The sequence below is a fragment of the Homo sapiens genome, chromosome 9 (genome assembly GCF_000001405.40).
Source record: "Homo sapiens chromosome 9, GRCh38.p14 Primary Assembly".
Lineage (NCBI taxonomy): Eukaryota > Metazoa > Chordata > Mammalia > Primates > Hominidae > Homo > Homo sapiens.
The window spans coordinates 8,620,619-8,648,045 of record NC_000009.12 but is presented as its reverse complement, the minus strand read 5'-3'; the positions used below and the strand labels follow the sequence as shown (position 1 = coordinate 8,648,045).

At 37.1% G+C, this 27,427-nt stretch overlaps 1 protein-coding gene across 55 annotated transcripts in view, besides 2 other annotated features; it reads left to right on the top strand.

Moving 5' to 3' along the window:
• PTPRD (protein tyrosine phosphatase receptor type D) overlaps nt 1-27,427 on the top strand; it is a 2,298,757-nt gene that overhangs the window by 1,964,957 nt on the left and 306,373 nt on the right. For all 55 annotated transcript variants that reach the window (NM_002839.4, XM_017014961.3, XM_006716827.5 and 52 more), the window contains 2 exons: nt 11,202-11,347; nt 14,588-14,729. In NM_002839.4, coding sequence (NP_002830.1) covers nt 11,202-11,347; nt 14,588-14,729 — 288 coding nt within the window. The remainder of the gene's footprint in view (nt 1-11,201; nt 11,348-14,587; nt 14,730-27,427) is intronic.
• Nucleotides 2,816-3,795: an enhancer, noted in NCBI's record as "H3K27ac-H3K4me1 hESC enhancer chr9:8644251-8645230 (GRCh37/hg19 assembly coordinates)". NCBI's record gives its function as "activates a minimal SCP1, AML or CMV promoter by ChIP-STARR-seq in primed H9 embryonic stem cells {active_cell/tissue: H9 hESC(primed)}" and the evidence as "EXISTENCE:reporter gene assay evidence [ECO:0000049][PMID:30033119]".
• Nucleotides 3,796-4,775: an enhancer, noted in NCBI's record as "H3K27ac-H3K4me1 hESC enhancer chr9:8643271-8644250 (GRCh37/hg19 assembly coordinates)". NCBI's record gives its function as "activates a minimal SCP1, AML or CMV promoter by ChIP-STARR-seq in primed H9 embryonic stem cells {active_cell/tissue: H9 hESC(primed)}" and the evidence as "EXISTENCE:reporter gene assay evidence [ECO:0000049][PMID:30033119]".

Below are 27,427 nucleotides of genomic sequence, written 5' to 3'. Positions count from 1 at the left end.
TGGGATTGCATGCTGTTCTGGAATGTGAAATAATCCCAGGTGAGATCAGAGATGTTGAAGGCAACTGGCAGGGAAGTCCCATGGTGGCAACTGGAATGGAGGAATGGGTATGATGCGAGAGCTAGAAGGTTGGTCAGCTGTGCTAATGGTCTACGAACATTTACTGGTTGCTTAGTTTGTATGTAGACATTGTGCCAAATGTTTGCAATTCATTATTTTGGACAGTGGATAAAAATATGGCCAATGATAAAGTATTAAGTTATAGCTTTAGCAGTGGTCTAGGTAATTGGACATTCTGACACATTGCTGCTATGAATATATGAATTATTTTAAAAGTATAATTTGTTAAATATATCAAAAGCCTTAAAAATATACTTTTTTGAATTCAGTAATTTTACATGTAGGAGTAATTCACATATAGGAATTACATATATGTGCAAAGATATGATTACAAAAAAGTTTTGAAGTCTTTTTCTGATTGAAATAGCAGAAACAACCTAAATGTTTAACAATAAATTTAAATGTAATCTTTACTCTTTATAATATAAACATGATGAATTTATTTGTGGTCATAAAAGATATTCACAGTATATTCTAAATGAAACGTTGGTTACAAAATAATGGTACGATATAACCTCTTTCTTGTTAAAAAATATGTAAAATAAGCATGGAAAATTCTTAAAAGTTATTCATCAAGGTGATCACCATTAGAATATCTCCTTTCAACTCATGTACATTTTCTAATTTATAATAAATACGTACAATTAGAAGAGTAAAGTCATTTTACTTAAAAATTAAAAACACAAAAGGTGGTAGAGGGGAAGAGAGCTCTGTGATGACAATGAGGTGGAATGATATTCATAAAAGAGAAAAGACTCATCACGTTATATTATGCTTCATCTAAACTTCAGTCCTATGATGATACACATGAATCTGTAATCTGGCTGTGCTACATTTGCCAGCTTAGGGCTTCGCATGGATCTATTCGTCTCTCACTATGTCATATCAATGTATTGCAGTGGCAAGGTATGTCACATAGACTTTGTATTCCATAGCTAATTCGCCAAACTATAAACAAATATACGTGTAATAGAGGTGCAAAGATCACATTTACGATATTATTATCCGTCCTAAATACTCAAAAGTGTATAGTCCAGGATTAGGGGATAGTATCTGGGACAGCCTTTACCAAGCTCATGTATGCATTGAAACTATGTGCTGGGTATGGTTGGGAGTTATAAGACTTCATAGATGACCAGGGGCATGTATAATTTTCTCAAGGTTCTATGAATGTGAAAGGGGAGAAAACACATGTGCTTAAAATAACTATAATGAAATATAGACTATTGTGATTCATAAAAGATACAGAAAGCGTGATAGGGGAGTCGAAAGGATGGTACATTTCATCTAGATGGGGAAGATCAAAGAAGGCTTCCAAGGACTTAATTTAGAATTGAAAAATGTGGGTAAATTCTGTAAATTCAAAAGTGGGAAAGAAGGCATTTTACATGAGGGAACAGCCTGTACTGAGGCATCGAGATGAGAGAATTTTAGGTTCTCCGTGGGCAATGGTGGAAATGTATTTGGGAAAATAGATTGACAGCAGCTCTGAAATATCTTAAAGGCCAAACAGTATTTCTGGTGTTAGTTTGCAGGAGTAAGCTATTAAAGTTGGTTTATTATTTTTTGAGCGGAAAAGAGCTGTAGTCACAGATGCGTTAGAAAACAAAACTCAAAGAACGAAAAGGGAAAACAAAAGAAGGATCCATAGTAAAGTGTAATATTGATTGTCGAGATGAAGCACCTGAAGTGAGAGTGACCAGATGGGAAGCTATGGATATCATGGCATCATTCAGTAATTCTCAATCCTGGTTGCATGTTGGAATTTTCTGTAAATTAATTACCCAGTCCCATGCACTGTTTTCTGTTTTAATTGATTTAGGGTGGGGTTCAGGCACCTGTAGCTTTCATTTTTTTTTTTTTTCTTTTAGGACTCCCAGGTGATTCTAATGTCCAGTTTAGGAGTGAACCATGGCCATTGTTTTTGGGTACAAAAAAGAGGGATAAGACATATTAGTGATAAATCAGTAGAACTTAATAATTGGTATTGTGGGCAAAGGAGAAGGCAGAAGAGGAGGCTGAGGCTGTTAGGTGGGGTATATGGGAGAGTGAATATGCCAAAAACAGAAATGAACACTCAGTAAGAGGAGAAGGACTGGGAAGGCAAATGACATGGTATGTTTTCAACACAACAATTTTGAGATGCTGGAAGGTAATCTTTCAAGCAGTTAGAAATAATAACCTAACATTGATAGAAAGTGCAAGTGGGAGATAATCTTTTCACTAAATTAAATCTTTTCTTCCTCTCTTCATTTCTTCCTTCCCTTTCTTCTTCTCTCTCCTTTTCTGTTCCTGTCTGTCAGTGTGCCTATCAGCCCTTTGAAAAATTAGATATTGGTAGTCATACAGAGGCATAGATATCTATCTACCAAATGGGAAATGCTTTAATACTCATTCTAAAGGAATTGAGAGTTGAGGCCTAAATAAAATTAATGGTATAGACATGCATAGAAATATGTCATTGAAGTGTCTTGAAATGGAAGAGAGTTAATCAGTGTCAAGAACTGTATTGAGGTATTTGTCTTTTTAAATCATGAGCAAATGGAATGTATAAGTAAAATAATACCAAAGTAGCCTACCATGCTAAACTTGGAATTTGGGTGATTTGTTTATGAATTTTCTGACATTGATTTTTGTCTCTTGGTCAGACATCGTAATCTCTGATTTCAATTGGATCCTGGGATGATGTTACACTTTAAGAGAACTTTTAAATACAGCATATTCTGGGTGAAGTTTCTCACTTAGCTAGTGAAAAATAATTGCTGTAGTATGGCACAAAGTACGTGCCAATCCCTTGAGAAGACAATCAGTATACATTTTATAGTTACATAAAAGATATTTCAAAATATTTAATAAATTGCGATATATTATCTGTGCAATCTTTATAATTTTCTAGCTTGTAATTTGGCACAGTGAAAATATTAGTGTTACAAGATCTTTGGGGTGTTATTTTCCTGGCCAGAAACCTCTGTGGCCAGTGGCACCTTTATCCAAGTTTTGCTCAGGCCCGTTGGTCTTGTTCTGCCCACCTGGCCTGGCAGGCTGCACTCAGCTCACACTACCGGCCTGGATCCCATGTCTTCAAGGGAGACTGCGAGTCAGGCATGGAATGGCAAGGGGTGTGTGAGTGAACGTGGGGTTTGGTCACTGCACAGTCAGACATGTTGGCCGCTGCCACGGGGTGGGCGGTTCCGGGTGCTAGTATGGCTGCCAGTTCTCCGTGAGGCAGCGGTTGGACCAGGAGCACCACAGCAGCTTCCCTGGCTGGCACTGGTGAATGCAGTGGCACCTGGAAACTTGGAAACAACAGGAACCACTAGGCCCCAAAGAGTGAGTCACAGCCCTGGCTTGGGGAGCTCCCAGGTCTGGGGTCCTCAAAGGGCCACAGCCCTTCTCTCCTTCTCTTCATCTGCAACGTGGTGAGCAAGGGGCATGTTTCAGCCCTGTTTGTGTTACAGCTCTTTTAGCCTTGCCAGTTGGCTGGTCCTGAGTTCTTGTCCTGTGACCAGGAAGAATGAGGTATGCAGACAAGTGGAGGATGAGCAAGACGAAGAAGAGCTTTATTGAGCAATAGGAAAGCTCAGAGGAGACCCATAGTGGGCATCTTCTCTCCGTCTCAGGGTGTCCTGATGAATGTTCAGCTCCTGTCAGAGAGGGTAGCTCCTCTCTGTTAGGCAGGTCGTCCGGAGTGTTCACCTCCCAGCAGAGAGGGTAGCTCCTCTCTGTTAAGCAAGTCCTCAGTTCTCATCAGAGAGGGTAGCTCCTCTCTGCAGCTGGTCATCCCAGCAGGTGTTCAGCTAACAACAGAGAGAGTCGTGCCTTTTTGCAGCTGGTTGTCCCATCTGCTTTGCTTTGGCTGAGCCTGGAACTTTTATGGGCCTCAGAGGGGATGAAGTGCATGCCAGCTGGTCCATGGACAGCCATGGGCGGTCCCAGAAAAGGCACCACCAGTTCCCACTATGGTCTGTGGGGCTGACAGCCCAGCACTCAGACTTCAGGCCCTCCCTGGCCTGAAGGTGGGACCTCACCGGATCCATCCCCTTCTGCCCAGGAGCCTGTCTGCCTCCTGCCACCAACTGTGGCACCCAGGCTGCTCACGCCAAGGGGCATCTGCAGGCCCTGAGTTGCCCTCAGCTCCCCACTTGGCTTCCCTTCCACCCTGGTCAGTACCTAAAGTCTGGGGGTGCTGAGGCAGCAAGGGGCTGGTGTCTCAGTGCTGCCCCAACATGTGCACACTCAGTCAGGCTGACAGCACCTAGGCTCGGCCTCAACTCTGCTCTGAGATCAGAGCTGCGAGCAGTGGTGGCAGGAGTGGCTGCAGAGGCAGCAGTGGTGGTGGTGGGTCCCCTATTCCCCGCTTCCCCTATGCCCTGCGTCCCTGAGGCAGCCCATCTGCAGCCAGTGTGAGGGCAGTGGCCGCTCCACATGGCCTGCTGCTGCTGCCATCATGAGGGGTTCACAATTAGATCAGAAGTTCTCTCACTCATAACCTCAGTGACTCCTCCTTACTGTCTTTTCATATATTTTCCTTCCTTCCTTTCTTTCTTCCTGCCTTCCTTCCTTCCTTCCCTCCCTCCCTTCCTAATACCTATATTACTAAAAAGCTTTCTATAAATCTATAAAATAGGAGTAATGATAACATCTTGCAAGACTCTTTGAAAACACCGTATATAAGATATATTAAACATTTAGTCTAGTGCATGGAACTCAAGGAGCAGTTATTTCTTTATTCCATTCTAAAGTATAATGCTTCTTAAATCAAATTTTAAAACTAACAGGTGGTTTTGGGAGCTGTATTTAAAAAGAAATACCATAAACAATTTTTTTGAAAGTCTGTTTGATTTTGAAGATCTATCCTGACCACAGATGTCAACAGGTGACCCTGTTCAAATTTCATGTGACAGATTCACTGTCCCCACAGGCCCTGGTTCATGTAGAACCTCTGCTATGGAAGCTACCCCAGGTGGTATCTGTGCCATGCTTTTGCCCTCCTAAGCAATGATACATCAACTTTGGGACCTCCCTCCCTTTCGTCATGTGTTGGTATAGTTGTGCTGTTGACTTGGGCAGGTTGTCTGTCACTACCCTTGTCCCAGTGAAAATGAAGCTAATTATAACAAAAACCTATCATCCACACAAACTCTGGATGCCCCATGTTTGCGAAAGTGTCAATAGGATGTGCTGTGGCTGGAAGGGAATGTAAAGTCCCATGGTAACTCATTCCCCTCAAACCTTCAGACCAGGCTACTACCCTTGGAACCACCCCTCACTCTTCTGCTATGCACTGCATTTCCCACCAGACCCCAAAGGCCCTGTTCCTGAGCTCTCCTTCAGAGCTCTCATCCTGACGCTTACAGAGAAAGAAAGATCAGAGATGACTTCAGCTGATCTTCTCATAAATTCTACAGGCACTTTTTAAGGAGGAAGCAGATTGCTAAAGACAGGGGTACCTGCATGTTCCCACTGAACATTCTCTCCCTGTCTCATTTAACAGCAATATTCACCTTCCCCTTTAAAAATTTTAAGTACATTGTTATGACAAACAGCCCTTTAAAAACAAAACTCTGTATTTAAGGAAATGTTAATCAGTTAAAAGAAACAAAGCCAATTCGTTACATGCTGTTAGTTTTGTTCCCCATGCCACATATTTTCTTGATGTCCACAAGAAACAGCTTATTAATTAGAATTAAATTAGATAAATGGCACCCTCATTTTGTCTCTTCACTTTTGTAGCATGTGATCCTTTCTATGAATCTGTTTTAAGTCAGTTGGCCAATCATATACCTCAACTCTAAGTTATCTACTTAACCTTTAGGAATTTCTCATAAATTGCATTCATCTGTGGATGTTACTGGTGGACTTCAATGGCTCTCCCCGATTTATGTCTAGCACTACTTAGTATAGTGTACGAAAGGGAGGATTTTGTCCTCAGTACGGCAGTTTGTTAAGGACAGACAAAAGCAGTTTGCTGGTCTTGGTTGGTTCTCTCACCTACATTTAATAGCTATAAGTGCACATTGAGCTCATCACCTTGTCTTCAGAGTGCCTAGCAACTTGAAACATGATATGGCATCCAAATATTAGACCCATTAGGTTCAAAGATACTGTGCATTGGTTAGACTTTAAGAAACAATCTAACTTCTTAAAAGCAAAAATCAGTGCGCAGTTTGTGGCTTCTCTTGAGCTGTGTAGCAAATAATAATCTACTAAATTCCAGGAGCTATGGCCTGTGTTGTGAATGCATCCTGAGAATGTACAGTCTTTGAAAATGGCAAGCGAGCCTGGCAGACACATTCTAGAATATCGGCCATGTCTCTGTTGTGACGCATATGCATGCGTAGCTTCTCTACTTTCCATTTAGAAAATAGACTTTCTGGGTTGACCAGTAATTTGACCTGTGCAGTACCTGGCATTAGTTTAATAAAAGATCATACTCCTCACTTGTCAAAACCAACTTGAGCACAAATGCATTTTGCAAAGTACAGCATTGGCAGCTTCAGGTAGATGGCAATGGTGATTAGCTACAGCAGTAATGGAAGGATGCCTCTCTAAATAATGGTGACTGGAAAGTTCTAATGCCTTTCTCCCCATCTTTATACCTTGATATTTCTTTTTTTTGTACACTAACTATAATACTGATGGTTGTATCTCATGGGATAAAAACGGAGATTTTCACGATTCAAATCTTAGTCTGTCCTATGTTGTGACTTTTTAGTAGATACCCTTGTTTTATGCTTTACTTGAATTCTCTTCCCTTTCTTCCCATCTTCAGAGCATGGCTTAAATTTGGACAATATCTATGACAAAATAAGGCAGACGATTCATCATGTTCCTTTTATTAAACTGAGATATGGAGAAGGGAAGTGGGTGATGTGTGTTGTTATATCCCTCTGAGAATAAAGATTTTTACTTGCCTCAAGCATTTGTTGGGGTTATTAAGTTTAGTCTTCTCTCTACCTCATATCTTTCCTTTGGCTGGCTGCCTAGCATTGACAGACACCATCTGAGAGTTTGACCAGCAAAAATGATTATATATGCACCACCCATGCTTAGTGAAAGGATTTTACTATATTATCTTGAGTCTTACTTTGTATCATAGGATGATGACATATATCCTTTTTGTAGTTCGGATCTTGTGGGCGAATCTAGAAAAATTGACATTGGGTCCCATAGGAAAGTCATGATTTTCTTGTCAGTGAGGCCGATGTCTTTCATATATATATATGTATTTTTTTTTTTTTTTTACAGAATTTCTCTGTAAAAGCCCCTGAAATTATTTAACTGTAGTGTGATCAATTTTATTTTCTTGTTTTCAAAGAATAAATTTAAGAGCCCTTTTAGGTTTTTTTGTTTTTTTTTTTTTTGTTTTTTTGTTTTTTAAGAATATCACATCAATACAGTGGTAGGATTTAGAAAAATAGTTCCAGGTCCTAAAATAGATTCTAACTGGTTATTTTAATAAGTTTACCACAGTTCAATAGGTTAATTTCATTCCATGACTTGGTCTCCAGAAATAAAATCCTACAGTAGCATCCAATGGTCATTTCTTTTTCTTTTCTTTAAATTTTTTATTTTTGAGATGGAGTTTCACTCTTGTCACCCAGGTTGTAGTGCAGTGGCGTGATCTCGGCTCACTGCAACCTCTGCCTCCTGGGTGGCATATTTTTATACTTGTCAATATTACACAAAAACTTCTCTGCGTGTCGTGATGGCTCACACTTGTAATTCCAGCACTTTGTAAGGCTGAGGCGGGAGGATCCTTGAGCCCTGGAGTTCAAGACATGCTGAACAACATAGGGAGACCCCATGTCTACAAATAATAAAAACATTACCCAGGCATGGTGGTGTGTGGTTGTGCTCCCAGCCACTCTGGATGCTAAGGTGGGAGGACTGACTGAGCCTGGGAGGTTGAGGCTGCAGTTAGCTTTGATCGTGCCACTGCACTGAAGCCTGAATGACAGACCAAGACCCTGTCTCAAAAAACAAACAAAAAACTTCAATGCCTGACCAGAAAATAAAGATAAATGAGACACATACCTGGAAAACATCGAAATGGCACTCATACCTATTCTCCAAGTGTATGGGAATTTTGTCTCTCTGCACTCCATTTAGAAATAAGATTTCTATGTTTAATTTGACTTGTCCTCACCCACCAGTTATTTCCAGATGAGCTTTCTAATTTAGGTCCTTACATGGCAACAGGACAGATGAAGCACTTACCCAAGCATCCATTGCCTAGTTGCAGATTGTCAGAATTGCCAACTCTTCTTCATTCTTTGGGTTAAGAAATGCAACGGTATCCCTTAAAAAATATCCAGATGCAGGGAAAAGGGTATCCTACTTCTAGTTTTCTTTAATTTCTAATATAGTGCACACTCATTTTATGCAACAGCCCTTCAATGTATTCACATGTTCTTGCAAGAAATTTCAGAACAGAACTTAAATGGGAAGCTGGGCTCTTACAATGTATTTTCCTTCCCGGTTGACAGTTTTTAGGCTATGGACAAGAAAAGGAAGGTAGCTAAAAATGACAGTATTGTACCATTTAATACAGCAATCTATTTTGTGTTTCTAGGGAAATTCCCTAGAAATTTTAATTGCATAATTATAATTTTTCCATTGGTTACTGACAAGCAAGTAGTTATTATCAATTTGCATTGTTTGAAACAGCAGAAAGATAAATATAAAAACTTGTAATATATTTTTCATTTGTTTCCAGAAAAGTGACATCAATGTACAGTGTTTTGTAATCCTCTCACTGTTAGTCAATTTTAAATTATTTTGAGGCCGGGCGTGGTGGCTCACGCCTGTAATCCCAGCACTTTGGGAGGCCAAGGCAGGTGGATCACGAGGTGACGAGATCGAGACCATTCTGGCCCACATGGTCAAACTCTGTCTCTACTAAAAATACAAAAATTAGCTGAGCGTGGTGGTACGCACCTGTAGTCCTAGCTATTTGGGAGGCTGAGGCAGGAGAATCGCTTGAACCTGGGTAGTGGAGGTTGCAGTGAGTCGAGATTGTGCCACTGCACTCCACCCTGGCGACAGAGTGAGACTCCATCTAAAATAAATAAATAAATAAAAATAAATAAAAAATAAAATTATTTTAAGTACTTCCCACAGCTCCTAGTAATCATCTAGTCTGTATTGCTACACTGAGATGCTACAGGTTATGATCTCTAGCAGGGTTGTTAGAGGCTGTTTTGCTTTCTTAATATTTTTGAACATAAGCAGGCCCGCAGTTCCAGGATCACCAACAAGTTGAATTTGCTGATGAGGTGGTAATTCATTCTCCAGGACCAGCATTGCAAATATGCCTCTTCTGAACTTCCCTCCTTTGGAAATAATATATAAAGCTAGGAAACCTTGAAACTGGAAGCAATTTCTGCAAATTAATTTATTTCATATGTCATAGTTTTGCAATTTTTGTAAATTAATGTATTTCATATGTCATACCAAGAAATGGTAAAGTTACATGATTTTTTTTCCTCCAAGATTATCCATATATGTATTGGTGGAGCTTAGATAGGAATCCGGCTTCCTTGACTCCAAGAAAACCAAACAGAGTCAGAACACACCATCAAGTTAATGGGAACACCATGTGGGAAACATGAAATCAATACAGAGAAGATACTGGTGATGAACCAAGAAGAACAAACTTTGTTATGACTTTTTTCTTTTTTATAATCCAAGGATTGTTTTCAAAATCAATTTTAGCTATGGTTATTTAAAACCACTTTTCAATGACATGTAAGTAGAACACAGTAGGAGAGAAGAGAAAATCTGTAACAGGGATTAGAAATTAAAAAAAAAAAAAAAAAAGAAGGAACAGCAAAATGTTTTGGGGCTTTAAAACATTTTCAGCCAGAACATAATTGTAAAAACTCAAGGAAGTGTAAAAGATGGAAAGCAGTCGGAGAAATAATTAAAATGCCTCCTCCTGAACACCATTATTAGTGTTTTATTTACTTTGTTCAATCTTTGTGTGTGTGTGCATTTTTCATTATCTGCTATCCCCACATATAACTCTGTAGTATGCTTTTGTGGCTTATTATTGCATCATAAGCATTTCTCATGTGGTATGATACAGATTTTATAACACTTAACTACTTGTATGATGTTCCATCTTCATGCCATATTTTATTTCACTGTGACAGAAATCCCATACTGTTTAATGTTTCAACTACTTATACTCTTTTGCCAAACAAATGATATGATGAATATCTTTGTGCATAAGTATTCATTTACATTTTATATCATTCTTGTATGATAGCTATCTAGATCTTGAAATACAAGATGAAAAATAAGTAAGTTTTTTAAAGAAGGAGGAAGAATGTTAGGAACATTTAAAGGAGATGGAGGATGTTGAACAAGCTTCCAATGTCTATCTTGCTAGCCTTAGTAATCTTTAAGTCTACATCTTTGTATAAAAAATATTCTTTGCTTTACTATGACTTTGGAGGCTTCTTGACTCATCTTCTTTTATGCAAATTGTGGAGCTAAGTTTCAAGTAAGACAGCTTACAATATCTGGGTTAGAGAGTCACTTTACCATTTTCCCCTATTTCTATTTCTTGCGAAACCTTCTAATTCAGGGCGATATTTCTTGTCTCTTTAAAATTTCCTAGCATTTCTCTTAAATGTCACTAATTTTAATAGCTCAGCAGTGGCAATGCTGCTTTCTGGCAGTGTCCTGATAGTGGCATCAAAGCAAGCGCTAAAATTTTACCCACTTTGATTGATGAGCTCATTTTGTTAGAGGACAAATTGGATTTTTTTATATACTGGTAATAAAAATTAATGTGTGATGTTGCTTTTCGGATGTTATTGGATCTCTACCTTAATACAGATTTCAGCAATAAAAGCACTAATAGATAACTTAACCAGAAAGTTATGTCCTTCCCCTTTAAACTACCCTCAAAAGTAAAAGATGCTTTTCTAATTTTGTAATCCCATAGTGCATTGTAAAAATGTATGTCTTGATGGCGGTGTGGTTGAGGATGGTGGGGAGAGCAGCGGTAGTAGGATAATAGTCTGTATTTCAGTTTTCAATTTAACTGTGATGTTTATTTTTTATTTCAGCACCTCCAAGGTTTACACGAACACCCGTTGATCAGACAGGGGTCTCTGGCGGAGTTGCCTCTTTCATCTGCCAAGCTACGGGAGACCCAAGACCTAAAATTGTCTGGAACAAAAAAGGAAAGAAAGTCAGCAATCAGAGATTTGAGGTATTAGGTCCATTGTTCTGTTTCTCTGGGGGAAGAATGTATCTGCTCTGTCTTTGGTTTCTACGTTACTTGCTTGCTTTACTCTGATAAAAGGTGTCACTGATATATGGTATTCCTTACATTGCAAGTGATGGAAAATGTAACTCTAAATGGCTTTTTAAAAAAGGAAATTTGGGGGTTCAAGGGCTGATTTTTGTTTCTACTTGTGCCAGGGCTCAATAGTATTCCTAGGATTAGTCTGTCAGTTTCATCCCCAGGTTGCAAGATGGAGCTCTGCAACCTCACAGGACCACGTCTGTAGGATGTATGAAAGCTTGTCTCTTCCAGAAGCCTCTCATCCCATTGGCTCCTATTACGTTACTTGTGCATCCCTGAGACAATTTGTGTGGATAGGTGGACAGTGTAGCCTACTTAATTTAAGCCAATCAGAATCTACCTCTGTTCTGGGAATGAGGACAGTCCCATCCAATTGCATGGCTTAGAATGAAAGAGCAGAATTTTCCCAAAGGAAATTTAAATCCTCGTTATCAAGAAGAATGGGAATGGATGCTAAGCAGCAAATGAAGTGGTCCACTGCCCCTCGCACCTGTGTTTTACAAGTAGTGTGAACTAGAATGAGAAATTTGTTCCAGTGTTTTAAAGTACTATTCTGAAAGAAACACATGCAAACAGGTTGATATTGCAGAGAAACCTATCGAAGAAGTTGGTTTTCTTTATTCAGGAGAGCTCAGTGCAGCGAAGATGGTGAAACATAAATCAAAGATTCTTTTTTTGAGTGTTTGTGAGAAGGCTGATGGTTTAGAAATTTGCTCATTCTGGAGGAGAAATATAGGCAATAAGATATATAGAAAGCTACACAGATTATGGGCACACAATAGCATGCCCATAATTTAAGACATGAGAAGGATAGCTTTAATTTTAGGGGCTACCAATACCCCCAAACTGCCTGAAATTGTGAAACTCACCTCCCTTTTACCTGAGTTTCTAATCTCCTTCATGACCTAATTTACAGTTTGGCAGATTAAAGGCAATTTCTAGTTAAAAGAAATATAGCAACTACAAATTCAGAACAATTTTATTTTACTTATTTTCATAGGAACTCACAGGGTGATCAGGGGTTCAAATGTATAGAGAACCTAATTAATTACAATGGTGAAATTAGAAATTTGCCATTGGAAATTGGGTTGTAGTTTACAAGTGAGAAGTTTAAAATTATGTCTGAAAATCAAATACTTGATTATTATTGAAATATAATTTATTTAAATACAAAAATATCTTTAATATTTGGAAAATGTTTCCTGTGTCATGTAGAAAATGATGTATGTATGCATCTTTGCTGCACATTAAAAAAATTTAAATGAAGTTAATTTTTTGTCAAAGAGAAGTTTGACATCACGCTTTCTAATGACAATGGCTCCTGACAAAATCATGTAACAAAAGTGAAATTATACTACTAAATATTTCACAGCATGATCTCTGCTCAATGCCTAATTCCCCATGAGAGTCATATAAACACCTTTGGGGTAAATGAATTATTTTTACCCAAAGCAGCTTCATCAAACTGTATCAAGTCCTTGGTTGAAAATCTTTACTATATTTAACACTAATATATATATAATATATATTTAATATATATTATTAAATATATATTATTAAACAATATATATGGTATTACTAGTCTGTATGGTCCCTGAGAGCAGTACATGTTGACTGTTTTTGCTCCCTCTTCTATCCCCAGTGCTAAGTATGGTGTCTGGTCCATGGCAGGCATGAAATCAATACTGGATATTTTCAAACTGGAAATTACATCACTGGCGTGTAATGTGTGGTATATTGTATGTTGTAAGAGGATAGATCTAAATCTAGGAAATAGTTCACAAATGTAAACATACAATGACATTTATTAATAAATTAGTCAACATTTAAATTGGGTTTATAGTTGCTTTAACCTTTTCCTACCTAAATCATAAAATGATCATAAATAACTTTTTTAAAATTATGGAATGCTTAACAAAGCTTCCAATATGAAACTATGAAACTTTTCTTTCCTAAGATGCATAGTAGATTTATTTTAAAGTGTATGCTTTATAGAGTTGAAAATAAACTGTAGTGCATTGAGAAATGGGCCATTTTGAATATTTTTGTGAATTTTGAACAAAAATGGAATGCACAAAGATTGAAGTGGACATATTTTGAAAATATGAATGTCCTTCCTCTCTGTGTTAATATACACATGCACACACAAAATCTGGAATTAAGCACCCCATAAATATATATATGAGGCAATCTCAATTTATTCATAATTTAGGCACATGGGAATATTCACAGTGAAATACAAGAGAAAAAAGGCACAACTTCTCAGTGAACAGCTGAAGGAATGCAGCATAGTTACAGAAAAGACAGAGGACTCCATAATATTGTATACATATTTGTTAATATCATCATCTTTTTTTTTTTTAAGTGGTACTTGAATTAGCTAACAAGTACCCAGGATTATCAGTGTCACTAAACTGTTTCCAAGAAGAGTTCCTAATGATGGTGAATTCAGGCTTAGTGTTTAGGACATTAATTTTCTGCCTGGTGAAGCAAGCCTCCATTTTACAGCAAGAATGCTCTAAAAATGCAGAAAATGCTAAGCTAGAACAAATACTGGAATGATTTATGGCAAAATTAATGCACACCATCAGGCTTTTGGGTTGTGAAAGCTGTCTCGTTGGCTGCCTAAGTACTAGATTTATGCAATTTCTTTTCGTGGTTTGCCTATCTATACTGTTCAGGATGAGACAGTTTAAACTAGCAGAGCTATCTGTGGTGGCATGCATTAATTCTTCACCTTACAGTCCCATTATTGAATGAATCCACATTCGTATATGTGCTGTGAGAGAAAGAATAATTTAAGAAGTTTATCCATTATAGCTGCAAGCCTCTTGCAAAATTAATAGAGTCAAATTGCCCTAGATGAACATACTGAAATATTTTAATGAATAAACCCTGGTAGTTTTTAGTAGGGACTAGAAATCTCCATGTTTTGCATATGTAGTTGCATATCTTTCTCCTTGTTCAGTAGAAGATTCACTAAATTAGACCAAATATTTTTTCACCACTATATCAAAATTCAGTTTCAGAATGATGCCTAGTTTATTATGAGCCTAATGGCGGATCCACCACTGTATTGAGAGCTTTAGCTGAGAGGTAGACAATTGTAACAACACCTGTGACAGCTATTGTTTCCTCTAATAGGTAATAGAGTTTGACGATGGGTCTGGATCAGTTCTCAGAATACAACCCTTACGGACTCCGAGGGATGAGGCCATTTATGAATGTGTGGCCTCAAATAATGTGGGAGAAATAAGTGTATCCACCAGACTCACAGTTTTGCGGGGTAAGTGCTCAAGTGAAGGTTGTCGTTTGTGTCATTGTTACAATTCTGTATCTCTTTTGTAGCATCATTGAAAAGACTAGCATTGTGATGGTGCTTAAATGGGAAACTCAGTTAAATGTTTGTAAGACTTGAACTTTAATTAGACAGTGGATACCTTCTCTAGTTTTGGGTCTTTACAGAACTAGAGTTCAGGGGGAATATCAGAGGTAAAAAAGCTGAAAAAAGCATTGACTTCAAATGCCAGATACCATTTTGATTTTTGGCAGAGCATCTAGAAAGGAAACAGGATATGGTACTCTTTTATATGTTGGCATTACTCGTGCATGGATTTTTCATACTGTATTCAGCAGCTACGTTTTTTACAACTACCACAGCTGACATTGATATTTGCAGAATTAAAGAAAGAACCTTAGCCTAAAGATGAACTTTCCTTAAGCAATTGGTCAGAACCAAGTATAAGAAATGCACCTGTCTTATGTGAAAAAAAATACATTTTTTATTTGTCTGTTATCTTTCTTAAACCAATATGTATTGATCTAAATAACTGGGCTGACAAATCCCTTTCTTTGTCTCCAACAATGTTGCTTACACAATTTGACAAAGGCACAGGGTGAGTTGCCAGATCTCCAGTACAGTGTGTTCAGTTTGTAGACTTCCTTTACAATGAGAGTGCTGGAGAATAAAGCTATGATGAAGACTGTGTTGTATGTCTCTAATTCAGGCTTCTGTATAGAGATACGAACATTCCCAATTAGGCACCTCACAGTTGACATTTCCAGATTAACTATTCTGTGCCTTTATCTCTTTCTCTCCCTCACACAACTCATTTGTTTTGTTTTGTTGTATTTTCCTCTGTTCCAAAATTTAGGAGAATAGACTTTCCTAACATGAAAGAAATTGGAAAGGAAACAATCAGAATCATAGAGGAACTTATGTAGATTAAGTACATTTCTCTACTATTTCATTTTTTTTACCCCCATGGAGGGATGGTTTTACTTTATATCTTTTATAAAATAAAAAAGTTTGATTTGATAAACATCTTGGTTTCTTTCAAGGAGGTAAGCCCTATTGATATTGTCAAGAACTTATTTATTTGGAGGCCAGCAGTAATTAGTAATGTAGGTCAAATTTACCTGGTGGTTTTGAAACTAAACACACACACACACAGACACACACACACACACACACACACACAAAGAAGCAATTCAAGAGGCTGAGAAAATGAGATTATTTACATATATATCCTTAATTACGTTTGAAATAGTATAAACACCTTATTAAGTTGCAGGGAAAGTATTGACAATTGGATGTATATCTTTTAAATGCATGTAACAGATGCTGCTTTAAAACAGACAAGTGAGATTTGAGCTACATTTCTGGCTGTTATGACAAGCTAGGTTGGTGCAGGAAGTTCCCCATTCCCTGACCAACACATAGAAATGTTGACAAAGTATCTGAAAATAAAATTAAAAGCATAATTAGGCTTACAAACAAGAAATTGAAATTTCCAGTTGCTAAAAACAAGGGAGGGATTTCCTAGAGAAAAGACAATTGTAATAACCCAAGATAATAACAAAATGGACCTTATGCTTTAGTGCTGGAGTTTTAACACTCCAGCAAGATACATACGTATATAAAATAAGTTGAGAGTAACAGAGACTAGATCAGCTTTCTGCATACAAGTGAGATTTCCAGCACTATTCCTACTGTGCAATACTCAGGACCAAATAGTTTAACATAAAAGCTGGTCAGAAACAGTGAGTCCCATAGAGTGTGCAACAGACACCCATAATAGCACTCACCCCACAGAGACATTCCGATAATCCAGATACACAACCCTAGAGAAGGTTGTTCATACCCAGATGGGCTAATGAACACCAGTTCTAAAGCAATCAAGTCAGCTACCACCAGCAAGCGACAGTAAGCCCAACCATCAAGGGTGGAAATCATAGTCTCTGATCCACAGGTAACTGAACTGTATGAATGGGTTTCAAAATATATTTAAAATATTTGAAAAGGGAAAGGAAGGAATGGTCTAATAGGCAAGAATAAGACATTAGGGAAAAAAAAGAATAGGAGTTAGAAATTAGATTTTAGAACTGGCAGGAATCTTAGAGACTATGTTTATATGTGCTGTAATATGCACTATGGAAAGTATACATATTTCTGAATATACATACATAGTTCACTTCAGCTTGTCTGAAAATTGTCATTTTTCAGGTGTTCATATTTGAAGCCAAATCTGGCTCATTTGTTCATCTGCTTTAAAAATTTTAATCTCCATTTATTTACCTAGTTTAGAATCAGTGCCATCATATAGAAGGTATATTAAAAAGGTACAATAAAATAAAACTTATCAGAAACGTTTTTGAGTTTTCTCACTTTCCAAATCCCTTGAACTCCTTAAAAGGAATTAATGGCAGTCATGTGCTTGACTTATCTTTATGCATCCAATGAAGACATTAACAAAAAATTGGAGCAAAATATCACTTTACTTAGAAATTTACATGGATTAATGTTTTCCTGTCTCTCAGTTGGCTGGAGTTTCATCATCTCCTCTGCTTTTATACAGCTAGTCCCCATATAAAACAAATGCATCAAAAATGTTTAATATGGTCTCAACTTTCTATGTGAACATCTGTCATATGTAAGTATACTTGTATGAAAATTTATGATTTGAGTAGTTAACCCTTTCCATTTTTTTAAAGACTATGTTGAGCAGTTTTAGAACTTTCATGAGAAAAATTCAAAAGTATTTTAGATGACAGAAAGGTAGTCTAAACATAATCTTAAAATAGAATACTTTTATATATCCTTTTAGGATAAAATAAATATGGATGGAAATTATTTTTGTTTCCTGGAGTCACTGTTTGCTTAAAACTTCTAAATATTGTTATTTCTATTAATAGTAGTGTTTAATAATATTCCAGTGTAAACTGACATTCATAGACTTTGAACATCATGAATAGCTAAATAAATGAGTGTGAAGAGGTTTATACCACAGTTGAGGAGATTTTAGGTTCACTTTCTCTTGCAAATCATGTTGGCGGACACTCAGGCACTCTGTTCTGCAGTAGATGGAGACCATTTTACACTTTTCGTCCAGTGGCCTCATTAGATTCCCATTTCGTCCACGTGGATCATTTACTTTCTCCCTGCTTTACTGACAAATGCCAAAAATGTGCCAGCTCTCATGATGGGCTTTATCTAAGTGAACTGGATGAAGATCATTGATTTATCTCACACAAGCTACTAGAGAAACTAATTAATTGGAGATTCAAATATCTGACCTGTATGGTTAATGAAGAAGACATTGAAATAATACTCTGACCACCCATGTGCCTCGAAGGGAGCATTTCAGGAACAAGTTTCCCTTCGTAGCTTGTTTCAAATTACCCTTACTCTCAAAAACTGTGTTTCAATAAGGAGGGATAACCACAAGCTCAGGCTGAATGTGCCCCGAAATAAGATATTTGGGCAATTAACTATACCATAGAGTGTGGTTCACGAAAGAAGTAGGAGAGGGGGGAGGTGAATGTAGGGCTTATGTCTTCCAAGTCATTTTAATTTTTTAGTTGTCTTGGCTATGGAAACACAAGAAAATACTGACTCCCTAATGATACAACACTTTAGGAGGCTGAGTATATCTGTTTTACTTGTGTTTTCCCATCCTAAGCAGAACTTTAAGTGAAGGCCTTAGGATGTACTGAGGCTACTAAGGACTGTGCCTTAACTAATTGTGGAATGCTACTAAGGACAGTGAATTAACTATCAGGCTTTCAGTGAAGAGCAAGCATAGGACCAGAGAGAGTGTTGTAAGAACAGGGATTGTCATCTAAATGGAATTGGTTCTGTCTGTTTCGTTAGTTTGCTGGTCACAATTTCTTCCTGACTAAAGATATCAGCAGGAAACCATGTAATACAAATTTATGCAGTGATAACTGAGGATGAAAATATTCTCTCTGATAGATGTTATCAATCACTAGGCAGGGAAAATGAGATATCACCATCCATAGACTTTTCTTTCTAGTAAGAGTCCAAGGGTACTTGCTTCTTTTGGGCAAGAGGAAAGACATCAATAATTATTCTTACTTACATAACCTCCCTTCTCTAAGACAAAGTTCTGGAACCATTTAATCAACTTTGAATCTAAGCATCTTACTAAATGTCATCATGTTTCTTGAACTTAGAATTTTTTTTAGGGGAGTAATCAGAAAATACATTATTTTGCTCTTATCTCAAACAGCATGTAATGGGTCATTTAAAAAATCTTAGTAGATTATTTTTAGACTGGGCTGTTCTCAAATAGCACTGCCCCAAACCACCACCACCACTAGCACAACAGAACAGGGTATGATATACAACACTGCTGCTCTTATCTATTTATAGGGAACTGGCTTTGTTCATAGAACATATCTACAGTACAATTATTGTCTAAACATGCTAGTTTACCAGATATGAGGCATTTTAGTTACCTAGTTTAGCAAATATATTTCATCAAGTGATACTTATGTGTACCTACTCTTACATATAAATATATTATTTGTGAATGATCACCATTAGGACAAAAGATAATACGTGAAGTACCCAAGTCTAGGTCTTGGGAAATTGAATTCCAGCTTTAGCTCTGTCACAAAATAACTGGATTCTTAAGCAAATACGTTAACTTCCCTGTTCTGTTCTGTTTCTTTTTTTTTTTTTTGGCCTGATATGCATTGGGAAGGCCTTGGATTAGCGATGAAATCACTCAGATCACCCCTCTCCAGCTTTCCGTGATTCATTGACATGCCTATTTCAGCAAGTCAGTTCTTGCAAGATGGAAAAAATTTGCTCCCTGAAGGTGACTGTTACTGAGATAGTAAAACACACAGTGAGCAGTTGGATGAGACAGAGAAGGCACTGCAATGGGAAATAGAAATGTTTGCATAATATGTCTGTTTCAAAAAATGTAAGCCATTATGGCAGTTGTTAGGAAAAAAAACATACAACTTTTACAATCTTTCAGGGAGAAGGCAGTCAACTATCTCTGCCATTGTGCAGTACCCTGTGATCAGAATTAGCATGTTGATTACAGTCTCATTTTATTAATGCCTCTTTTTGAAGATGAACACAGTTGTCCCCGCTGTGAAAATGGTACTTTGCCGTTTATGTTATAAAGTGGTCTCGGCTGGAGATCCAGGCTAGGAACATTAAAGAACAAAGCACAGCTGCTTGACTGTCACACAAAAGGATTTTTATGAAAGACTGAAACAAAAGGAAGGGTGGCCAACACAGAACAAACGTGCTGACAATTATGGTACTGACTGAAGATTACTTGAAAAGGCTTATAAAATAGTTGAGTACTTGGAATACATTGATACCAACACGATAAAGCTTTCGTGTGTACCTCATTTCCATGCTGGGAAAAGGTGGTAGTGGGCAGAGCCACTTTAAGTGAACAGACGCTCCTGACTTTCGTTGGTGTAATCTTTAGAATTTAAAAACAGTGATTCTTTGGGTATCAGTGGTCACAAAGACAGAAGCCCATGTGGATAGTCTATGAGAGACCCTAGTAAGGGGAGACATTAAAACTGAAAATCTGGGGGAGAAAGTGTACCTGTGAGGAGACGCTATTCATTTTCCTTCTGATCTATCTTTTGAGGACTGTTATGTTGGTGATGCATGCTCCTTCCTTGGAACTATTACTTGTTTTGCCACACTGAGATCATGTCTAAAAAGGGCTCAGAAAAAATGAGCACACTTGTAAATCATTGCATTGAAGTGAGAACAATTTTCTTCTTTTGACTTCATATTAAAATATTATTTTTAATAATTTTGAAATGAACATCAACTCATGCGAGTGTTTACTGCTGCTTAACTTGTTAACCGAACCATAGAAATGTTGAGCTAGAAGGGAATTTGGTGTTTACCTAGCCTCACTACTTATTTTTGATGTAAGGAGCCAAGGTCCAGAGAGTTTGACATGATTTGTTCTTGGTCGTACAGCTAAGATTTTCATCGGGTTTGGCCAAGTCTGAAGTGATCCCTGCTGCAGTACGTGTGACAGTGAGTTTCAGCCCTTCAGATTTTTACTTTATATACAAGATATTGTCCTGGAAGAACAATGTTCTTCCAGCTGACATGTCGACAGATGAGCATGATGGGAAATAAAAAGTGCTCAAGTGCCATGGGTGCAAAATGTGTAAAATGCTACATGGATGATACACTGTGAGAGTGAGGAGACTGCTGGGTTGGGGCATGAAGAATATTTAGGAGTCTGTGAGACAGAGCTAACTTGAGAGAGGAGTAGAAACTAGAAGCTTCTTGAGCAAAGTGGCTTAGGGAGGAAATCACTGAGTATTGATGGTAGGTGTGTGCAGTGTATTAGGGTTCTCTGGAGAAAGAGAACCCCAACAGAATATATACATATATAGGAAGAGCCTTATTTTAACAAATTAGCTGACATTATTAATGAGGCCAAGAAGTTTCAAGATCTGCCAAAGTTGGCAGCTGGAGGCCCAGGAGAGTTGATGTGCAGTTCTAGTCCACAGGCTGGCAAGCTGAAGACCTAGGAAGAGCTGATGTTTCAGATTGGGTCCAAAGGCATGAAAAAGCTGATGTCCCAGTTTGAAGGTAGGAGGAGTTCTTCCTTCCTTAGGTGAGGCTCAGCTTTATTGTTCTCTTTAGTGTTTTACCTGATTGGATAAGGGTTGCCCACATTAGGGAGGGCAATCTGCTTTGCTTGGTGACTAAATTAAATGTTAATCGCATCCAAAAACACCCTGACAGTAATGCTCAAGATAACATTTGACCAAATATTTGAGCACCCCAGATATTTCGCCTAATCAAGTGACACGTACAATTAACCATTACAGGTGGGTATAAACAATGGTAGGTCAGAATTGAGCAGAAGTAAAATAGTAGTAGTAAAAGAAAATGAGGTTGGGACGTGACTCATTGGCTAAGGAGATAAACCTAATAAGTGAGAAAAGGTGTGATTAAGTTAACCTAGGCCATCTTTATGTGAGCTGAAAATTACAAAGGAGTTTACTAAAATACTTCACTTAAAGTAATCTATCAAACAGTCATTCATACATAATTGAGGTTTATATTTAAAACTAGGTAGTTGGTTGGCTTTCATTGATAAAATTTGAGCAGTTTTTAAAAATTCAGTATCCTGGTTTTCCAAATTAGTTTTATTTTAAGCTACTAATTAAGATGTAGTTTTAAAAGTTGTACATGCATAATTTATTGGTATTTAGGGCACAGATATGCCAAATGCCTCATCTAGGGTTTAATTATCAAAGCCCTAATTACGTATCTCCTTAGAAGAGCAAGTAACTTATTATATCTTATTAAAAAAACAATGACTTGTGAATTAATGCCACATTAAACACAACTATGATGACACACATCCCATATTCTTAATATGTTTTGTTAAAGATAGCAAGATTTTTTTTTTTTTTTTAACTACTGGGCAATCGGGGAATAGTCATATCATTTCAAGACTCTCTTATCTGTCATCTTCCAAAATGAGCTGTGTTTTAATTTATATCTAAAAACTTTCCATGCCTTTCTTTTTTGTTTCTTAGAACTTTACCTTTGATTATTAAACTTTATCCATGCATTACATAAATGTTATTTTCACCCTTTAACACAGTAGATTTTTTTTTAATTGATAGATTTTTGGTCATAAGTGTAGCACTATTGAGATTTTTCTCACATGTCTGATGATGTCTGTATTCAGGTTGAAAATTTGATCATAGTTTGTATTTTCCCAGAAGAGATCCTATATTTCTTGGAGCATAAATACCAAAAGAGCTATTAAAAAAATGAAGCTATAAATCATAAGTGAGACCAGAAAATCAATATTAACAGTTTTTAGATATTTTCTACCTTTCTAAGTATCGGCATACATAGTTCTTTCTGTTTGTTTATGTATTTGTTTAATTACGTGGGTAACTGCAGATCTGTCATTTACTGGTCAACTAGAAAATTAAGTATAGTAGAAAAGTATGTGCTCATAAAAACGTGATGGCTTTTAATAAAGCTAGTTATTAACTATCAATATTTATACAAAAACTTGAGAAGGTATATTTGCATATATGTATGTTTTGTACATGTAGTATATATATATATAGTGTGTTTGTATATGACCTGTTTAATTTGCTTCATAGCACTTTTTACTATGTGAAATTATACTCTTTATGTCTTGAGACTTTTATCCTGTATACCTCTTCCTTTGTGTATAAGCTCCATTACAGTTTTCTATGGCCTAGAAATGTTCCTGGCATTTATTGGGCACCCAAGAGATATTTGTGGCATGAACAGGTACATATGTAGAGGGATCTATAGATATGGTTATGTAGATACAATGCATTAAGAGACCATTTGGGTAAGAATGAGTCTTACTTTACATATAATGAACAAAATAGTCATTATTTCAGTGGCCTCTGCAAGATGAAGAGCGTGATTGAGAGTCAAGAAGTCGAGGCAAAGGGAAAGAGAACTACAAAGACAGAGTGAAACAGAGGGAATGAAGAGAGATGCTCTTTCTAGCTACATAAGCATGAATTTGTATCAACCTTCCAGTGCTTCCTAACTGTATAGGTTTAGACACATTACTCAAGTCTGAATGTTAAATTCCTATCTGTAGGGTTGGGGGTGATCCTGGCTATCTTTTAGGGCTGTTTTGGGGGAAGTTAATGACATATTAAATCATCTGGCAGAGTAACTAACAATAAAGTTGCCAAAGAATGTTAATTTCCTTCCTTCTCCCTTTATTATCCCTTTGAAGCTGAGCTAGCTGGTTTGGCTCTCCCATCACTACTGAATCCCCAGCATCTAGAATAGTGCTAGGCACATAGTAATTCAGTAAGTGTTATATGTATACGTGGCTATGGTGAAGGGAAGGGAGGGTGAAGAACTCTGAAAAATAAGTTTTTGTGTCTTCTCAAATAGTCCTTAATCCAAAGGACTGAAAAACAGCTTTTCACAAGGAAATAGGATGATACAACAATCTGAAAACATACAGTATTACCAAGTTATTTTGAAAGACTGAAAATCATTTATTGGTGCTATGCTAGTACACAATCCCAAGAATTTTAGTTCCTTTTTTTCCCCCTGTTACATTTGTGCTTATTGTTACGTTAACACACATTTCCATATTCTTCAGAATGCTTATACATTAGGTAGGTCCAGGTAGTCAATTGCTTCAACTGCCTAACTCAAACTAGAGTCACACTGTCGTACTAGAATATTATTTCTGTTCTATGACATCTAGGTCACAGACTAGATAAAAATCTATAACTGTTTTATGATTTCTGTGAAAATGTAACATTAGATATATTTTAGAAGAAGCAGAAGAATTTCAAATATCCTTGAAACTTTGAAAGAGATAATAGGAAACATTTTCTTGCTTTTTCGTTTATTCGTTTGTTTTGTTTTTTTGATTATTTCTGTTACCAACCTTGGTGTAGGAAGTGATAGAAGGTGTAGTTATGGGTGTAGGTTCAGCAAACAGACAGACCCGAGTTCAAATCCTAACTTCACTATTTGTTTTGCGGCAAATGTGCACATTTCCTAACCTCTCTAAGCTTCAGCATCTGTCTATCAAGTCGAGATAAGAAGACCTATTGAGTAAACTTAAGAGGATGATTACAGGAGATAATCCATGTAAAGCTGTTAGCAAAGTTCTAGGCACTCAGGAAATGTGAGTTGTTGTTGTGATTATCATTATCATCACTAGTATTACTATGATCAGTAGGATTATTATTAAGAGTTAATTTCAAATTATTTGATTAAAGGGAACTGCCCCATTTGTGAAGCAGAACTTTTTGGCACAGGCAGAATTATCTTGCTAAGGCTGGGAATACACAAATTTTTTAATCCTTAAGTCAAGCTACCTTGTCCACTAAATAATCATGTGGTCCAGATGCCACCATTTGGCTGTTGTAGGATCCACAAAATATTTGAAATTTGAACATCATTCTGTCATAAGTGATAGGGGAGTATACTTAAGAGAAAATTAGATGAAATTTTCCTTTTATCCTAAAAAACAGAGTTAGTTGCATGCTTAGACTAGAAGTTCCATAAGGGCATGGCTTTGTTTTGCTCTAGACTGTACACATGGCAGTAAGCACAGTGCCTGACATTTTCCATAAACATTTGTGTTTTTTGTTTTTTTAGAGACAGGGTACCACTTTGTCATCCAGGCTGGAATGCAGTGGTGAGATCATAGCTCACTGTAACCTGTCACTCCTATGTTCAAGGGATCTTCCCACCTGAGTCCCTGAGTTGCTGGGACTATAGTATGAGTCATCTTGCCCAGCTAATTTTTTTTTTTGTATTTTGTAAATTTTCTTTAGAAAATAGGTCTTGCTATATTGCCCAGGCTGGTCTTGAACTCTTGGCTTAAGCGATCCTCCCACCTCGTTTTCCCAAAGTCATGGGATTACAGGCATAAGCCGCTGCTACCAGCCAAAATTTCTTGATGGAATGAATGAATGACAAGTTTTAGGAAAAAGTTTCTAAATATTATTTTCTTGCAGACTGCTGGATTTAAGGTTTATTTTTAAAAATTAGAAATGTCAGGAGATGTTGCTTCCACATCTCGGATAGGCATACAATATATGAGAAGCAATTTGTATTAATTCATGAATTTATTCATTTGATAATCTAGCTCTCTCTAGTCCAGGAAGTGTGCTAAGTGTTGGGAATAAAAAGATGGAAAGAAACTACCCCCACTTGCCTTCAAGGAAGCTACAATCTCTGATGGGAAGCCATAAATTTGGTTAAAATGACAAGGCAGTTATACATATATACTGTGGTTGGAGATAATAAAGTCTATTTTTAGAAGAAAAGTGCTCTCACAGTAATTCAGCTTACACCTTTTCAAGCTAGTACTTGCCGTAAGAACTAATGTCTCCTTGAATATTCCATCAATATGACAGTAAGGTTTGTTGAAATGTAAGATGTGTTTGACACATGAAGCCTCAGCTGACAGAAGAATTAAGCTCACCTTTTTGTCCTGATGAGTAAAAATGTTCTGAGAGAAAAATTGTATTTCATTTGTAGGAAGATTTGGGATATACTTTGGTTCGGTTTTGAGAAAATATGGTGCAATAAAAAAACTTAAGTAATTACCTTCAGAGTAATATACCCATTTGTTTCTCTCCCAACTAATAGTAAGAGGAGTTTTTTATTGCTGCACTTATCATTTTTTATGATTCTTTTTTGCTCTAGGTGGAGATGACAGAGCATACCTAAATACAAAATGATTTTAAAGTGTACTGGTAAAATGTCTTAAAACATCTTCTCCCTCAGAGGACTTCATTAAGCAAAATTGATTTTTGTAATAAAATATTTATTTATTAGAAGATGGTAGTTTAGGCATTTTAACCCTTGAGGAAAGGCCATTAGCATATACTGTACTCCAAAACAGGAACACTGTTATATAAGTTACTTTTTAAGGCTTGAACAACTTGGATTAGAGCCCTGTATCCTAAAGAGCCTTTTATTTACACTCAAATTTTTATGCATGTCATTATAACTTATGATGATAGATCTGAATTTCCAGGTATTGCCAAGCTTGTTATAAACTGACATCAAGTGCTACAGCTGACTTACTATGGGTCCCATTAATCTTAGTTGCAAAGATGCGTTAATAAAGTTAACACTCACTGGCTCAATAGCAAATGGAATTCCCTCATCTCAGCTTACAAACAGATAAATCATCATCTGGGAGGAAGAATTCACTCTGACTTAAATGATTATTCTCAAGGATTTGCCATAAACCTAGTACAAAGAACCAAGGAGGACACTAAATGCTGCCCAGTAGGACTGGGGTTTTGCCCAGTACGACTGGGGTTTGAGCCAATCTTTTCTTAATTCCCTATCAACATTTTTAAGATATGATTGTGATTATTTAAAAACAAACAAATTTTTTTTAAAAATTAAAATTACTTTACCGCATAATGGTGAAATGCTGATGTGATGTCTTTTACACAAGCCTGGTTAACTATATGCTAACAGCATTGATTAAGCTCAGGGACCACGCTTCCTGTGTCCTCCAGTGAGATGAATTCTTGTTCGAAGACCCCCACCAAACTCTTGCCATACTCGGGTGCCAGAAAATCTCTCTCAGAATGGTGGAGGGGAAGTAATTGGTGTGGAGTTGAAGCAGAGACAGGCTTACCCTGCAGTTGAGGAATCTTTGGAATTAGGGCCCTCCCTTGTACGATGCCTTCCAAAGACCCGGGAAGACTTACTAGTATCTCCGGTTGATTATATATTTTTCTAAAATTTGTAAAAATAAGATTTTTGCATTTGTTTTCATAAAGTAGTCCTTTAAAGTTTCGTAAGCTTTAGACTTAATAATATCTAGGTCCGCTGCTGGGATGGGGCCAAGGGATCTAAGAACTGCATTGTACTTTACATATGATTGAAGAAAAATTACTTGTGTACATCAGCACTTGAATGTGAGTCTCACGTAGAGGGGTGAATGTCTTTCCTGAATCACAATCCTCCATGGCTTAATATAGACTTGAAAGGACTTTGCCCAATGTTTATAATTCTGTTTCTAAATTTATGGAGAACATCTTGGTACTATTTTTTTCCTTTACTGTTTAACATACAATACTACACAGGCAGTACACATCCACTGCTCTCTCCTGTAACAGGATGGTTTTGCACATTACACAGGATTCCCTGCCACCCCC